The sequence below is a fragment of the Homo sapiens genome, chromosome 4 (genome assembly GCF_000001405.40).
Source record: "Homo sapiens chromosome 4, GRCh38.p14 Primary Assembly".
Classification (NCBI taxonomy): Eukaryota; Metazoa; Chordata; class Mammalia; order Primates; family Hominidae; genus Homo; species Homo sapiens.
In genome coordinates, this window is record NC_000004.12 from 55,077,482 (window position 1) to 55,094,117 (window position 16,636).

At 41.5% G+C, this 16,636-nt stretch overlaps 1 protein-coding gene across 1 annotated transcript in view, besides 1 other annotated feature; it reads right to left on the reverse strand.

The window, feature by feature from the left end:
• The window catches only part of KDR (kinase insert domain receptor), a 47,115-nt gene continuing 31,478 nt past the window's right edge, over positions 1,000 to 16,636 (reverse strand). Inside the window, exons 22-30 of the mRNA NM_002253.4 lie at positions 15,136 to 15,233; positions 12,475 to 12,597; positions 12,210 to 12,321; positions 11,893 to 11,992; positions 11,387 to 11,492; positions 10,126 to 10,277; positions 5,055 to 5,154; positions 4,475 to 4,560; positions 1,000 to 2,682 (exon numbers count right to left, since the gene is read on the reverse strand). Coding sequence (NP_002244.1) covers positions 2,460 to 2,682; positions 4,475 to 4,560; positions 5,055 to 5,154; positions 10,126 to 10,277; positions 11,387 to 11,492; positions 11,893 to 11,992; positions 12,210 to 12,321; positions 12,475 to 12,597; positions 15,136 to 15,233 — 1,100 coding nt within the window. The 3' untranslated portion in view covers positions 1,000 to 2,459. The remainder of the gene's footprint in view (positions 2,683 to 4,474; positions 4,561 to 5,054; positions 5,155 to 10,125; positions 10,278 to 11,386; positions 11,493 to 11,892; positions 11,993 to 12,209; positions 12,322 to 12,474; positions 12,598 to 15,135; positions 15,234 to 16,636) is intronic.
• Positions 9,821 to 10,115: a silencer, noted in NCBI's record as "tiled region #1754; K562 Repressive non-DNase unmatched - State 24:Quies". NCBI's record gives its function as "represses a minimal TATA promoter and a strong SV40 promoter by Sharpr-MPRA in K562 cells {active_cell/tissue: K562}" and the evidence as "EXISTENCE:reporter gene assay evidence [ECO:0000049][PMID:27701403]".

Genomic DNA, 16,636 nt, shown 5'->3' on the forward strand with positions numbered 1-16,636 from the left:
TTTCATGATTGGCTATTCTAACAGATATGGAGTTCACTGGAGGGCCAAGGAATCACATATCTCTGTTTTAACATCTCTAAAGTGCTTAGAATATAATATGAAAAAGTGTTGGGGGGTGTGTGTGGAGGGATGTGTGTGGGAGTGTGGATGTGTGGGGGTGGTGTGTGGTGGGTGTGTAGGACGTGTATGGGGGAATGTGAGGGGGGTTGTGACTGTGGGGGGTGGGTTGTGTGTGGGTGTGTGTGGGGTGTGGGTGAGTGCGGGGGTGTTGGATGTGTGGGTGTGTGGATGGGTGTGTGGGGGGTGGGTGTGTGTGGGGGTGTGCATGTGGGGGGGTGTGTGTATGTGGGTGGGTGTGGGTGTGTGGGTGGATCTGTGTGTGGGTATGTGTGTGCTGGTGGGTGTGTAGGTGTGTGGGGGTGGGTGTGACTGTGAGGGGGTGTGAGTGTGAGTATGGGGGGTTGGATGTGTGGGTGTGGGGGGGCTGGGAGGAGGTGTGGGTGTTGGGGGGTGTATGCGTGGCGTGTGTGTGTGTGTGTGTGTGTGTGTGTGTGTGTGTGTGAATTCTTTGTAATGAAGAAGAAGAGGGAAGAAGCAGTTAAACTTTAAACCAGACATACTTATCCTCAAAATAGTTGTGGTGATATTATACCCTCATACTTTGTACTACAAATACATTTATTGGTTTGTAAAATATATAATCAGTTTATGAAAATATCCCTTATAAGAAGAGTAAGAAAACCAGTAAAAATGTAAAACAACCACATGGAAATTATGTCTGATTCCTTCTTCTCCATTTTATTTTATTTTTACCTTTTTTCTTTGAGATGGAATCTGACCATGTTGGCCAGACTGGTCTTGAACTCCTGGGCTCAAGCGATCCTCCCACCTTGGCCCCCCAAAGTGCTGGGTTTTTAGGTGTCGGCCACTGTGCCCAGCCACCCCCTCTTCCATTTTAGAAATGATGGGTACAGTAATGCAACCTTGCAAAGGGATTCCTTCAAGTTTTTCAATGTTCTTTAATAAAATGACATCAATTGCTGAAAGCATTATGACCTTTGTTATGCTACATAATACTGATACAAAATGTGAATAGTACAAAGTTCATTATATATAAGGCTTTAATATATTACATTTGTTTCTACATAAACAGACTATAAATATATGTGCCATAGCATGTCTTATAGTCATTGTTCCCAGCATTTCACACTATGGTACCAAACAAAAAACACATTTTCTTTTTTGAAAAAAAGGACAGAACAAGGGCAAAAATCAGTAGAAATAGCTCTATATGTTAAAAGTCTAAATAATACAATAGATGTTATAATTTGGGCTATAAAATAATTTTGAAGTCTGGCTAATAATCATTCAGAGAGTGAACAAACCCAATCAGGTTTACTGGAGTAGAGGCCAAATAACTAAAATACTGATGGGTTGCGGGGTGAGAGTGGGTTGGGGACAGGGGGAAGAACAAAAGGGTAAAATCCTTCCTGAAACTTTGACACCACACACAGCTTCACATTGAACCTCCCGCATTCAGTCTCAGACATATCACATCAGGACAGATATGAGGGTATTCATTCCAGAAGAAACCAGAAGCTGGTTTGTGCAGTCAGAACTCTTCAACACGGCAGGGAGCCTTGAGCTGAATGTCCTTTCTTTGTGGTATTCTGAATAAAGGATCAGCCTGGGAGACAAGGAGCCAGAGCTGCATCATTTCCTTCCTGGGGCTTGGCCAGGAGACACGTAACGGTCTGGAAGGAACTCTCATTAGGAGTCAGAAACAGCACAACGAACTCTACTTTAGCCCAACTCGAAGAACACGCAACCTTCTAAAACCAGAAACCCCGTCTGAACCCTTTACATTTCAGAACAGACCCCATGCCCACCTCCACCAGAGCAAACACAATGCATTTGCAGGCTCCAGTACTCTCCAAAGCAAGGTAACGTTAGTCTTCCTTTCTATCAATCCGAATTCCACACTTAAGGCTTGGCTTGGGACCCACGTCCTAAACAAAGCCTCTTGGATAGACTCAGCCCTGCAAATCCTTCCCATCTTCAACACCTCGAACACTTACATTGCCTGGTTTATCTTCTAGTTTTACAGAAGTGTCAGCTCCCCAGGTACTGCTACTTCTTTGAGGATGGGGCCATTTCTTGAACGTCTTTGTTCTAAACCCATGGTGAGACCCGCAGCAGGGGGCATGATAAATGCTTTTTAAATGAATGAAAAAGAGGATCAGGTCAACACTGGGAGAAGACACAGACACATTCTTGGGTCACAAGCCTCTTCCAGGATATGCCTAGAAGACTGGCTCCCTGCAGTCCGAGGTCCTTTTTCTGTTGTCGAAATGAAAATCAAATGCGGCTACTTCCTGCTGGTGGAAAGAACAACACTTGAAAATCTGAGCAGCACCTCTCATGTGATGTCCAGGAGTTGGGGGTGTGGATGCTTCCTTTTAAACAGGAGGAGAGCTCAGTGTGGTCCCCGAGTCAGGCTGGAGAATCTGGGCTGTGCTACCGGTTTGCACTCCAATCTCTATCAGCTTTAAAAGTTCTGCTTCCTCACTGGAGTACACGGTGGTGTCTGTGTCATCGGAGTGATATCCGGACTGGTAGCCGCTTGTCTGGTTTGAGCCTTCAGATGCCACAGACTCCCTGCTTTTGCTGGGCACCATTCCACTGCAGAAGAAATGGCAAACAAAGGAGTTGGCAGAGAGAAGACAATTCTTTTGCTTTTTACCCTCACCCCATTCCCAACTCCATATGGCTGCCATCTCCCTGGAGACCGCAGCCCCGTATCTCTCCCAGTTGTTAATCAGCATAGCAGGTTTACAGGGACAAGGTCTATTTTCAGGTACTCGCATGAATTAGTAGTTGCAGATAAGTCCTCTTACTCAGGTCCAAGTCTTTCAAGCCTCAAATGAGATGAAAGGCAGTTCTCTCGAGTTATGCAAAGGCCCCAACTGATGGAACATGTTTATGGCCTCGCAGATTGACAAATTTGTATACAGTGACAGGCGCCAAAGGGCCACTTGCATGATATTCAAGGAAATTGGGATGTTCTTAAATTTCACTTGTGCTTTTCCTATTGTGGCAATTTGGGAATTACGGGGCATGTGTATGGTTGTAATAAAGCTCTTGAGCAACTTTAAACTTTAATAACTTGAAGCATGTGTGCAGTCAAGCCAGACATATCAAACGCTGCTTTTTACTCATCAAAACCACATTCCTTGGAAGGACTGAGAACCCCTGTCACTCAGCAGCAACTAGAAAATGTTTTCAATGGCATGGAATCCTGACAGACGGTAATCATGTCAAAGCCTAGAAATGCAGGCTGTGTTGATCTAAAACTTCAGGATTTACACTTTCACAAGCCATTCTAAGGTGTTTTTTCCCGGTAATAGGTGTTTTCCCCAACTTCTTCATGTTAAAACTGCAAAAGGGAATTTTAGTAACTCGTGTTTATACATAGTTTAAAAGTTACTTCAAATAATGAGAAATACAATTTTTTCTTTCAATTCAACCCCAACAAAACTAATGTAGGTGTCTCAAGCAATGGCATGGTGCTCTGCACATGATACTTGCCGAATAAACATTTTTTGAATCAATGAATGAAACATATCATTGACTTTCACAATTTCTTACCTTGGGCCTTAAAGAAAACAATAAAATAGCACAATGGCACCTTTTAATATGTTGGGGTTTTTTTTGTTTGTTTTCTTTTTGGTATGAGCATTATTCAAAAACCCATGAGTATTCCCATTTTATATAAAAGATTATAAGCAGATCAAAACCTCCTCTATTCTTACCTTTAGGTAAGAATACTCTAGCAAATAAACTCCAGCAAATACATAACTACACTTATTCTATTATTCTTATAAATATAGATTTTCATTGATTTGTTATGTTAAGAGAACGTACACGTATTCAAGACACCTACAAATTCCTACTGAGCCATAGAAGGGAGATTATATTTAAAACTAATTTTAATACTTTTCTCACAATGAAATACTTCGAATTCAGACAATAATATTTAAATGTCTCAAACAAATAGATATTGGCTTATTTATATATCATACTTCTTAAGCACAGATGCACCCATTTGTATACAGACTTAAAAATTCTTCAGAGTCCACAAAGATTGTAATCATATTGACAGCTTTACGGATCACATCCAATCACCTTTTTCATTTAGCCATTACTGACCACAGTAAATATACACAGAAATTCCCTAGTATTCATGAATTCTCATAAAAATTGACCAAATTCTCTAATTTATTTCAGATTATTTTTAGATTTATCACTTAATTTTATTGTGTGGTTAGTTTCCATTCTTTATTTGTTAAATTGATGCTAATTTCTCCAACCAACAAAGACCCCATAGGGAAAATTCTGCACTTACACTGAAAGTCCTAAGTTCCTTCCAAAAATTCCTATTGAAATTTGTCTTTTTAATATGGCTGAGTCTTACCCAAAAGATGGAGATAATTTGGTTCTGTCTTCCAAAGTTTTCAGCTCTTCTGAGGCAAGAACCATACCACTGTCCGTCTGGTTGTCCTTTTTAAGAGACAATGAGATGGCACAGTTAATTGAGCATATAAAATGACCAACTATTTAATTAAGCTGATTTCTCAACCCATCTATCATGTCTATCAAATAAGGTCCTGTGGAAGAACATAAAGGTATCATAGCCACAAATTGTCCAAGCTACAAAAGGAAGCAACTGCTTCCTATGAGTAGACACAGGCCAGGGAGAAGAGAAAATTTACAAATCAGCAGCTGAGAATGCCTGTTACCATCGCTGTCTTCACTATGACACTACTTGCACTTTAGTGAAATTGGTCAGAAAGCTACACTGTCTTGAACCTTGGACCAAGGGCTTTACTTATGAAAAAAACAAAGTTCCATCTCCATAATGACCCCATGATACACACACTCGAGGGCAGCCTTCTAATGAGGCTCCAAAACTTTAATGCTTAGGCTAATATTTATCTAGCTAGTGTTTCATCCTTTGTATTATTTCTAAGACTATTTTTAAAAGACGTACTTACATCTGGGATTACTTTTACTTCTGGTTCTTCTAACGGGATATCTTCAAATGTTTTTACACTCACAGGCCGGCTCTTTCGCTTACTGTTCTGCAGATACTGACTGCAAAAGAACAAATATTTATATTTTAGTGGTGGTATATTTGACTGCAGATCGGCTACCTAAGTTCATTATCTTTCAACCACAAACTTAATAGCAACCTTCAAAACATCCTTTAGAAAAACAAAACAAAATAAAAATCTTTCTCTGCTAGCACACATGGAAGGCTTAATTTCCTGAGAAAGTACATTTAAAAGTATAATATAACTGAGGAGTCTCGATGAGCCTGTTCTTTTGAATCCTACTTCTGAGGTCCAGTTCTGGACTAAAGACAACAACAGCAGATGGAGTGATCAACTGCCTTCTACTTGGCTTCCTGATTGCATGGGATTCCTCCATCGAGCTCTGGATATATTACTGAGTGTTTCACATCTGTCTGGCCATCTCCTGGGAAAGTTTTTCTGGATAATGCTCACAGAGCAACCATTCAATGAAAGATAGGCAGAGGAAACATCTGAAGGTCTCCTTAAAGGATACTGAACCCAGCAGTGATTTGAAGACAACCTCTTCCTCCTCCATGTAACAGAGGCTTGGTGTGCAAAGAGAAGGTGGGCTGAGTCTCACTGTCCCCTCGTTTTCGCCCCCAGAGTTGCTGTCTCAGGAAAGAGCAGTGGTTTGAGAATAACAAGATATTTTGCCTATTTCAGAGTCTACCACTGACTGCAGAAACTTGAGAAAGTCATGAATATTTCTGTGACCCTCTTGTCCCATCTATAAGATGTGTTGGCAGTAGCACTCCCTCCCCAGCTCACAGGGATGTTGGGAAGATGAATGACATAGAGAATGTTGGGCTTATTGCTCTTAGGAAGAATAATGCCCTCTTCAAACAAAGCTCATTTTTCTCCTTTGACTTCCAAAGCTTCCTTCAGGAGTCCAAAGAATAAGACTTGTTGAACAACAGATCCTCTCCTTCTTGAGAATGCTCCTTCCCGGCCGTGTGGCTTTGGGTGAGTCTAGTTGATGCTATCAAAATCACTTACAGCCCAAGTGGAGGGAAGGGAAGTCCTATTCACTGGAAGGGCCCACCGAGACAGAAAATACATTCTTCATTCCTATACCAGCCTACTTCCCACTACAAGCAGACTTCTGGAACATGCTGCATAGACCTTGGGCCAAAGGAGAAGAATGGAAATTAATTCTCTCTCCCCTACCCCAAGAGGCTGGTTCCTCCCTATAGAGAGAGGAGAGAATGAGATTTTCCGGTGACATCCTCACTCAGGAAACTCCACAAGTTAAGAGGATATGATACACAGGGTGCAAGCAAAGCCTACTTTCTAAGTCCAACCCCTAAAAGTAACAGTTGTCAAACACTACTGGTACCGTAGTCAATCATTCCTGCATTCACTTGTTCAGGAAGCCCTCACTGATAATCTGCCGCAAGCCTGACACTGTGCCAGAAGCTGTCTAAGCAGCATCTCATGATGTGTTCACCACGGTACCTCTCTAGGGGTGAGTATTACTATCCCAACTCTTCAGATGAGGAAACCAAGGCATAGAAAATTTGAGGAACTTATCCAAAATCACATAACTGGAATGTTTGGATTATTATTTTGAGGGCAATGAAGAGCCACTGAAGGATTTTAGGCATGGGATTGACAAGATCAGATATGCCCTTTAGAGAATTGACTCTGGATTGAAAAGAATAAGACTAGAGGCATAAGACCCAAGAGACAAATACTGCACTTCTTCAGGAGAAAGAAAGGCAGCTTGGCTAGAAAAAGGGAATGCCCATGAGGTTTGGAGACATGGGCTCATTCTAGAGATATCTAGGGGATAGAATCAACTAGGGTTGGCGAGTTTGGACAATAATTCAGCTGCCTTAGAAAGGACAGCTCCTTAAATTCTTAATCCAGTAATTTTTTAAATGGCATGATCCTCTCATGATTGACAAAGCATTTTCACAGACAATGGTGCATCTGTTTCTCCTAAGACGGAGAAACAGGTCTTTTAACTATTTCCCCTTTGGAGATGAGGGAGTCAAGGATTAGGGAGAAAATGGCTAATAAAAGGTAGAACTGGGACTCAAACTTAGGCCTTCAGACACTAAAGCCCATGTGAAGTTTTTGTTTTGTTTTACTCTACTCCATACAGACTCCCTTGGAAGAGTATCAGGAGGGAAAAGAAAGAAGAAAACAGCAGACACAATTGTTCAAGCCATTATTAAGCACCCAGTATGTGCACAGCACTGTTCTCTTGTCATGCATGCACTGATCATGCAGTAGCAGGGTCAGGGGTGTAAGTACGGGGTATGAAACAGACAAAAAGTGCAGAAAGGACAGTCCCACTGCAAACAGTCTAATGGTAGAGCCAAACTCAGGAATACCTAGCTAGCAGGCTGCCCCAAGCATCAATCTACAAGGGCCATTTAATCATCCCTAACAATTACAAAATGAAGAAAATGGTATGTACCAAAACCTTTCTCTAAGAGAGAACTGCAAAGAAATTTTTGATAAGCTGCTTGATGTGTGAGGTGAAACTCCCAGGGAAAATGACAGAGCAATTGCCGATGGTCCCCAAACTGCCCTCAAAGAAAGATGAGCCCAGCAAGTATGTGTTTTCTTGCAGGAAGCATGCAAACTTGAGGCCAGAGCTGGTCCACAGGGGAAATTAGAGGCAAAGCTAAGTCTAGACATGAGTGGTCCCTCCCCCACACACTTCTCAGCCTTTTCTCTAAATAAATGCTAAGTAAATATTTTTCAAATGGTTTAAAGGGGCAACAAATCATGAAGCTAGCTCCCACAGTGATATCTCTGTCCAACTCTATTTATAATGCAATAGAATTGAAAATTAGAAGGAGAAAGACTGCTCAGCTTTTGTACTTGGCCAGAAATGCGTAAGAGGATAGAACAAGCTCCCTGAGAAGTACCCCAGCCTCAACTCATTCTCCCCAGAGAAACAGAACCCCAGGAGAGCAACAGAATGAAGCATGCCGTGTGCAAATGCCTCTATCTGCTTTTCTTCAAAACCAGATGATTAAAATGTGACCGTGAGTTTTATTTTATAGAAAGGAAAAAAGGTGGAGGAGGTGGAGAGGAGATGCAGACAAAAGATTCCAATTTCCATTTTATTTTTCAAATTATGGCTGGATAAAAGAGAAACTGGGCTGGAAAAACCAATTCAAAAATCACAGACAGAAAATAGGAGCCAGGCCTGTGCTGGGAGTGTGGTGTCACATTTGTCCACGCTTCTGGGGATAAACGTTAGCAGCCCTTCTATATATCCAACATCGTATTTGGTGCTTCCATTACACAAACATGATTTCTTCTCCTGCTCAGCACCATATGCAAAGCACCCGGTGAGCCAGGAGGCTGCCGACTCGGATCATCACTCTACTTGGTCACAGAAAACACATGGAATGTAGTTCATGATCAAATGGCTTTCTGATAAAGGGGGAGGCAATAATGGTGTGTGGGAACAACTGTCACACTAAAAGGCCAGCTCAACTTGAACTGGAAATGTGTAAACACAGGAGTGGAATTGTAGTCTCATCTCATTACTGTTTCTCTCTGAGGGCCCTCCTTGGCATGGGAGGAAACAACATGGACTTAGGGGTCAGAGGAACTGGATTCATCTCAAGGATGTGATTTTAAGCAGCTCACTTAATAGGTATCTTTTACTGAGTGCTTTCAAGGGCCAGGTGCTTAGAAATAGATTATATCTTATAACTCTCAAAACAGCCATTTTCAAACAGCACCACTGACCTTGTCTCATTTCACAGATAAAGAAACTGAGGCAGAGGGTAGATGATTTGCCCCAAGTTGCACAGCTGCTACAAGACAGACTTGGGGGTCCTACTCATTTCTATCTGACTCTAATACCTGATCTTTAACTACAAGTTTGTACTGCCCTCAGGTAATAGAACTGAGCCTCATGTTCAATAATACATCAAAAAAAAAGATCATTGTTTCTACCTTGCCTGACTCTGAGTGTCATGATGTGGGCAACATCTGATAATATACGGCAAAGTTCTTTAAAAATATGCCTAATGCTTTTGACTTCAATGGAACGGTCAGCTGTCTTGCTGGCTTCTAAGCTTTCTTCCTTCCCATCAGTGTTTCTGCTGCCCCACACGACTCTAGAGGGCAAACTGTCCACGAGTTTCTCCTTAGCATCCCCTGCCATGTGGCAACCTGGCCAAGTTCTGGACATGAGAGAGCTCCCTGCCCCTCCCTGCAGCCCAGGCACACTCGGGCTGGCAGGCTGGACCCATGCTGTCAGGGGTTCCATTAAAGCAGGAAAACACCCAAACGGGTTAGGAAAGAAACAAAGCAAAATGAAGTAGTCCCAGCCTTAGTAAAGGGCAATTTTAATATCATATTGTAGAAAACCACACCAACTCTTTCCTTATGCACAGGTGCTGGGAGAGAGAAAAAAGAAAGCTGCCTTTAGAACCCCTCTGCAAATCAGGAAAGGACTGCAGTGCATGTGTTTTAAATAAGCCCAGACATCCCATTATGCAAATAAAATGCTGAAAATCAGACGTGGGAGGGGCTTCTGAGATGCAGTGTCCAGTCTAATTCCGGACACAGACCCATGGCTTTCTGTATCCTTGCCAGAGAGCCATAAGCATGTTCTCATGCAAGCACAGAACTCTTCCTTTCTGAATCTCTCCTAAGCCATTTAATTCACATTAATAAAAGCATACACGGGGATAATTTAAATGCAGATGTCTTTGTAAAACTCGTCTCTTTATTCTGGAAATTAGCAAACTGTGGCATTCCAGCTATTGCAGCTGCAGGGCTTGGAATTCTTAAAGGCAATGCTGTGGCAGCAGCGTGGGCTACAGATGGGAGGAAGCACACCTACCCAGGCCCTCTTCCAGGAGCATTCCCCATTATGTTAACCTCAGGGCTAAGGTTATGTGGAAGTGGGATGCAACAGCCTTAGACAAGGTCTTCCTTCCACTTCCAATCCCCCTCCCGAGATGGCCTTGAAGTCACCCTCCCCCGGGGGATGTTAGGCCATATACAGTACCTGATTCCTGCTGTGTTGTCATAATGGAATTTGGGGTCACATACTTCCTCCTCCTCCATACAGGAAACAGGTGAGGTAGGCAGAGAGAGTCCAGAATCCTCTTCCATGCTCAAAGTCTCTGATATCGGAAGAACAATGTAGTCTTTGCCATCCTGAAACAATAAACACAGAAGACTGTTGTTATGGCTTCAGTTCTTCAAGTGCCTTTTCATTAAAAACAAAGGGCACAGGGACTTCTTGGCTACATAGGGTGTGTGGCTTTCATATCTGAACATAGAACTTTAAGACAACAATACAAATCATGTGTCAGAAACAAAAAGCTGTTGAAATGGAAGGTATATTAAAGGAGAGAACTAAAAACAAGATGGGTAAGCAGCCCACAGGGAAGTGCAGTTACAATGAAGAGAAAGCAGGCTGTGGTCAGAGAGGTAACAACAGAACACAAGGAGCTACATAGAACAAAAAATCACTCATTCACAAAGCCCTAACCACACGAGCCAAGCCCTTCAAAGGGCATGGCATCCAGTTTTAGCCACCACATTTCAAGGCAATGGAAAAACTGATGACAGTCTAAAGAAAAGCAACAAATGGGTAGGAAAATGGGTCTTTTGAGAAAAGGTTGCACAACTTAATATTATTGCATCAAGAAAAAGAAATAAAGGGCTATTTGATATCTGTAAATGTTTGGAAGGTTTATTGATAAAAATAGAGCTGACCTATCGTCCCCCAGCTGTTCAAAAGAAAAGAAAGAGGAAATTCACTTCCATTGTAGTAAGAGGCATTGACTAGAGATTAAATAACATTCTAATAGTAAACACTACAACTCTAAAATCTTCCAGTGGAAGTTATAAGAACCTGGGATGATACCAAGACAGAAACCATCTCTTTTGCATAGCTTAGATGTATTTTTGCCTGCAGAATTTATTAAAAATTTCTTGAAATTTCTTCCATTGTTGATCTTCTGTGGATCAACCAGATTTTTTCTTTGTTTTAACTTTAGAAGAGGATTTGAAAATATAACAAAAAGATAAGTAGGTAGAAATCAGAGTGGTCTGCTCCCGGGTTATAAATTAGAATCCTATCTGTCTAAAAGGGTAATTACAGCTTTTAGAAAAGCATTATTACTCAGATGTAGAAGAATACAGTAGATTATTCAATGGCTGAGAGGATGGCATGGTAGCCATGAGACAGTTCAGGCAGTAGGAAAGTCCTTGACATCTAAGTACTCTTTGTAGGTGCTTCTTGGATGGAGGTGACAAACCTGCTGAGCATTAGCTTGCAAGAGATTTCCCAAATGTTCCACCAACTCTGAAAACGTGGGTCTCTGACTGGGCTCCCCGTGCCAGCAGTCCAGCATGGTCTGGTACCTAGAGAAGCAAAACACTGATTTCATTAAATGCCTCTTTCTTCCTGAATGCTGAAAATAAGCACTTAAATGAGTACACATTTGTAAAGAGCTGACGAGGTGAGATGCTAAATAAGGATACAAAACTGTGTAAGACACAGAGTCCCATACTCCAGAGGCTCAATGTGTATAGAAAACATTTAAAGCAACATCTAATAAAAACTAACTGGTTGCTTTGAATAATAAAGTACTATCTTTTCAAGAAGTGATGACTCCATGCTTGAAATTATCAAGAAAGGCCCCAAAGTAAAAGCAGGACACTAACTGGGCAATGAAGAAGGTCTATATAATGGAAAGTCTTCCAGGCAAGGAGAATTTGCGAGCAAAGAAAGAGAACACAGGAATACTTCTTAAAGTCTTACATTTCTGGTGTAGTATAATCAGGGGCCCTCATTCTAGTTCCTTCTTTCAATCGCCTACAAAATTCTTCATCAATCTTTACCCCAGGATATGGAGAAGCACCTAGAATAAAACAGGGAGGAGACATTCTTTGATTTGATTTTCTCTTATAGAAAACCCTGAGCCTGAATCTTGCACATCCTCATCACCTATGTATCTATTTTTTTTTTCAAAGCTTCCGAGAAGTTTTGCCTGATAGACATGAAGTACAGGAGAGGAAAAGACAACTTTTGTCTTCCTCTTTGGAGTCTGGATGGAAGGACAAAAAGAAATGACTTACCTAAGGAAAATATTTCCCACAGCAAAACACCAAAAGACCAGACGTCACTCTGGATTGTGTACACTCTGTCAAAAATTGTTTCTGGGGCCATCCATTTCAAAGGGAGGCGAGCCTACAGGGGTAGAAGACAAGGATTCAGAACCCAAATTAGCAAATATCTGAAGAAAAAAACTTCCTCTGTTCCTGAACACAGGTCCTGAAGCTCTCTACGAGGAGTTTTAATTCTGTTACTTAACCAAGCACTGGGTTCATATTTGAAACTTACATCTCCTTTTCTGACATAATCTGGATCTTTATAAATATCCCGGGCCAAGCCAAAGTCACAGATTTTAACCACGTTCTTCTCCGATAAGAGGATATTTCGTGCCGCCAGGTCCCTGTGGATACACTGCAAAGAGAATCATGTGTGCATTAGGTCTCGGCACAGCTGATCTCTTTCACATCTGTTGTGACCTCATGCATCAAAAAAAAATCCCACATCAGAAAGCCAACTGATTAACAAGGACTGGGTTAGTATCTTTTATCAACACTTCAGGAAAAAAGTCTGTGAGCTTTGCTGAGACACACATCTGCTTATTCCATAAACAGCCCCAGCCTTTGGAGTTAAATAATTAAGTTATAATATGATGATGGAATCATAAATAGGCTCCTCTAGGACACAAAAGAGTGTGTTTCTGGTCACATCCACACATTCCTTTTACCTGGCCCCATATTTGGTTTAAAACGTGTTATTCTAAGGAGGTCCGAGAACGGGATTTGTTTTTTGAATGAATGCACGGAAATCAGAAACAAGGGGCTCTCATTGGTTTAGTGCTCTTTGTTGGTTTCCCCCTTCCGTATGAAGCTGAAGCCAGACTGGCTCTGATAAACAATTCCCAATGTGGCTTCCCCTGATTTCAAAGTGCTGGGTTATTATAAAGGTCTATTAAGGCAATTTCAGCCTATCACAAGTCAGGTTGATTTTCTAGTGCATTAATAGTACAATGAGATTCATCTTGACTTCTTTCTCTTCCTTTTAGCTTCTCAGTTTCTCCTTTCTCTGTATCCTCCAAACTTCAGCTAACTTCCTACTACTCGGCAGCTTTAGCTCCACATGATATTTTGTAAGAAAATGAGTCTTGGGGAGCACAAGAAATGAATCAATGGCTTAGAAGAAAACTTTTTTTTTTTTTTTTTTTTTTTTTGAGAAGGAATCTCACTCTCGCCCAGGCTGGAGTGCAGTGGTGCAATCTCAGTTCACTGCAACCTTCACCTCCCAGGTTCAAGTGATTCTCCTGCCTCTGCCTCCCAAGTAGTTGGGACCACAGGTGTGCCACCACGCCCAGCTAATTATTATATTTTTAGTAGAGACGGGGTTTCACCATGGTGGCCAGGCTGGTCTCAAACTCCTGACCTCAGGTGATCCACACACCTTGGCCTCCCAAAGTGCTGGAATTACAGGCATGAGCCAACACACCTGGCCAAAAGGAGAATTCTTAAATCATTGGAGAAGTGATCATGTAAGCCAGGCATTGCTGACCTTCCCACACCTCAAATCTGTATGGCACTCTCCTCTGAACAAGGCATATTCAGAAGCACATTATCTAGCACAATTGAGCAACACTGGCAATTCCAAAAAACAGACAGTGTTTTTGACTTTTCCCCCCAAACAAAAAGTTTCCTTTTTTAACCCGACAACCAAGTGGATTCAAGAAATAGTCTGGTAGATGTAAGGAAAGTTAAAGCATTCCCACATTCATTTCCATTCTCTTCCTAGTCCCCAAAAGGAACCCTGACTAAGTGGCGAATTCCGGCCATAAAAAAATGGTAATAATAAGTCATAATCTCCAAGAAGTGTAAAGGGCCTTTCTCTTTGGGAAAACCCTATAAGGTCCCAGTTCTCCTCCTTCCCCTTGGGAGAGAGAACATAAGAGCTACCTAGCAGAAACATCAAAGAGCCTGAGGCCTTTAATGCTATGAGAAGGGGAAAACATGGGTTGAAGATTTCATTCTAATTTAGGAAAAACAAAAAAAAATATGACTTAAGTCTTTCTTTCTTCATTAAGCTGCATGAATACATTCTGTCAACTGATAGTTCTTCCTGATCCTTAATTTGAAGTATTGTTACCTAATATAAAATTACACCTTTTATCCTTTCCAGGGGAATCACTGCCACCAGCCTTGCTCCCCGCTTGGTGTTTACAACCTTTGGAATAGTTGTAACTTGTCACGTCCCCATCTCAGCCTTTGTTTGGCCTACTTTTCTAATTTTAGCTCTTTTAATCGCTCTCATCTGAAGCCTGTCCTTCCTCGTTTCTAATTATACTCCTAACAAATACTTTTTGATGGATGTTGATGAATGTAAAATAAATTAAAAATGATTCTCATGCCAAGATATCTGTAAGGCTCAGCCCCTCCCCTTTCCAGGTCATTGCTCAAATGTCAAGTTCTTAGTAAAGCCTTCCTCGTCTACCTTGTTTAAAGTAGATGTACACACACAGAGAAGCATAAACATACACAAGTGCATTGCTCCTGTGTATTCTATAACCCTTTCTTGCTTTATTTCCCCATAGCATTTACTCTCATCTAACCTACAACACGTTTTACTTGTTTATATTGCTTATTGTTTGCTCTACCCACTAGAACTGTAAACTCCATGAAGGTGAAGAGCTTTGCCTGATTGTTCACCACAGTATCCTCAGTGCTCAGAAGACTGCCTCACACTTAGTAGATGCTTGACAAGCCTTTATTATACAGCTTAATTTCATGAACTCCTTAACCACTCTTACTCAGCAGAAACAGAGCCTCCCCAGTAGAGCTCTTCTAAAAGACGTAGAAGTGGTGAATGAATTACAATCCCAAACAAGCACCAATGGCTGACACTGGACATCTTATTTCCAAACCTGTGATCTGAAAAGATAGCTGATTTCCCCTCAACCTTTCTTACCTTTCGCGATGCCAAGAACTCCATGCCCTTAGCCACTTGGAAGCTGTAACAGATGAGATGCTCCAAGGTCAGGAAGTCCTTATACAGATCTTCAGGAGCTGTCCAAAGAGGCAGGAGGATGGAGATCAGTATTTCCATGAGTTAGTGTGATGTTTCTAAGTTTGCTAGAGTAATAATCTTTTTAAGACTTGGGAGTTAAGTTTTTAGGAAATAGAAGCAGAGAGTCAATGCTTCTATCTTCTGTAAATCTCCTGAATCCCAGTATCATTAGCCTTCATCATACCCCCTTAGGAACAATACTGGTTTTTCCATTTTAGCCAAATTGAACCAGTAAATCCAGGAGGTAGAATAAGGTAACACTGACCTAGATAATCTGGGAAATAAAGAGGACATTTCCAAATTTGCCACTTACACTGTTTTTTGTCATGTACCCAGAGGGATAAACAATAGTTTCATATCAAGAACTCTAAAAATAAAACAACAATATTCAGGGTCATTGAATCTCTTCTCTCCAGGTTTTGTCCTGGGACAAAGGCCAAAAGTCAAACTATAATCTGCAATAGATAACTAAAAATACTAGAAATATATTTAATTCATTTTCAAACTTAAAAAGTGCTGTAAATACATTAAATCTGGCCTGGGAGGGTGTTTTTTCCTGAGAGATAACAGAAACATGGAAAGATAAATTTACGTAAATTGGTGGTATTTACTTCAGTGCAACTGGTACAAATAAACACTAAGATATTAAATGGGTGTTTCAAAATCATCTCTTTGGTCAGATAAGACTTATGGCTTCTTTCCTGGAGACAAATACCAGAGTAAACAAAAACTTAGTTGTAGTAATAAATTCGTAAGTATTTAAAAGGCTGTGAGCCTTTTTCTCAACAACTCAATCTCTTAGGTTTCTGGCTCACTGGCCACTGTTTTTTGAAAGACAAAGAGCAGGGTAGAGGCAGCACCACTCAGTGTGGGCCCAGCTAAATGAAGCCTAGACCACCTCCCCATGTGCTTCTAGACCAAGTCCCAGCCTCACACTACCTTCTCAGCTTCTAAGGAAAAGGAGTTAAATGCAAATTCTCTCTGTAGCCTCATGTCAAGGGAAACAGAGTGGGTTTCTTCCACTATTCTTCTAGACTTATGCCTCAAGGGGAGCCAGCCTGTCACCCATCTCTACATCCACAACGCTATCTCTGCTCCTTCTGAAGGAGGCAGAAATACAGTGTGTCCTGGAGCCGGCTGAAGTCCTGGAAGTTAGGCTGGGACCACAGCTCCACCCAAAAAGAGCACTAAAATATCACTCAGGCCAGGCACGGAGGCTTACGCCTATAATCCCAGCACTTTGGGAGGCTGAGGCAGGCGGATCACCTGAGATCAGGAGTTCGAGACCAGCCTGGCCAACATGGTGAAACCCCATCTTTACTAAAAATACAAAAAAAAAAAAAATTAGCTGGGCATGGTGGAAGGCACCTGTAATCCCAGCTACTCGGAAGGCTGAGGCACA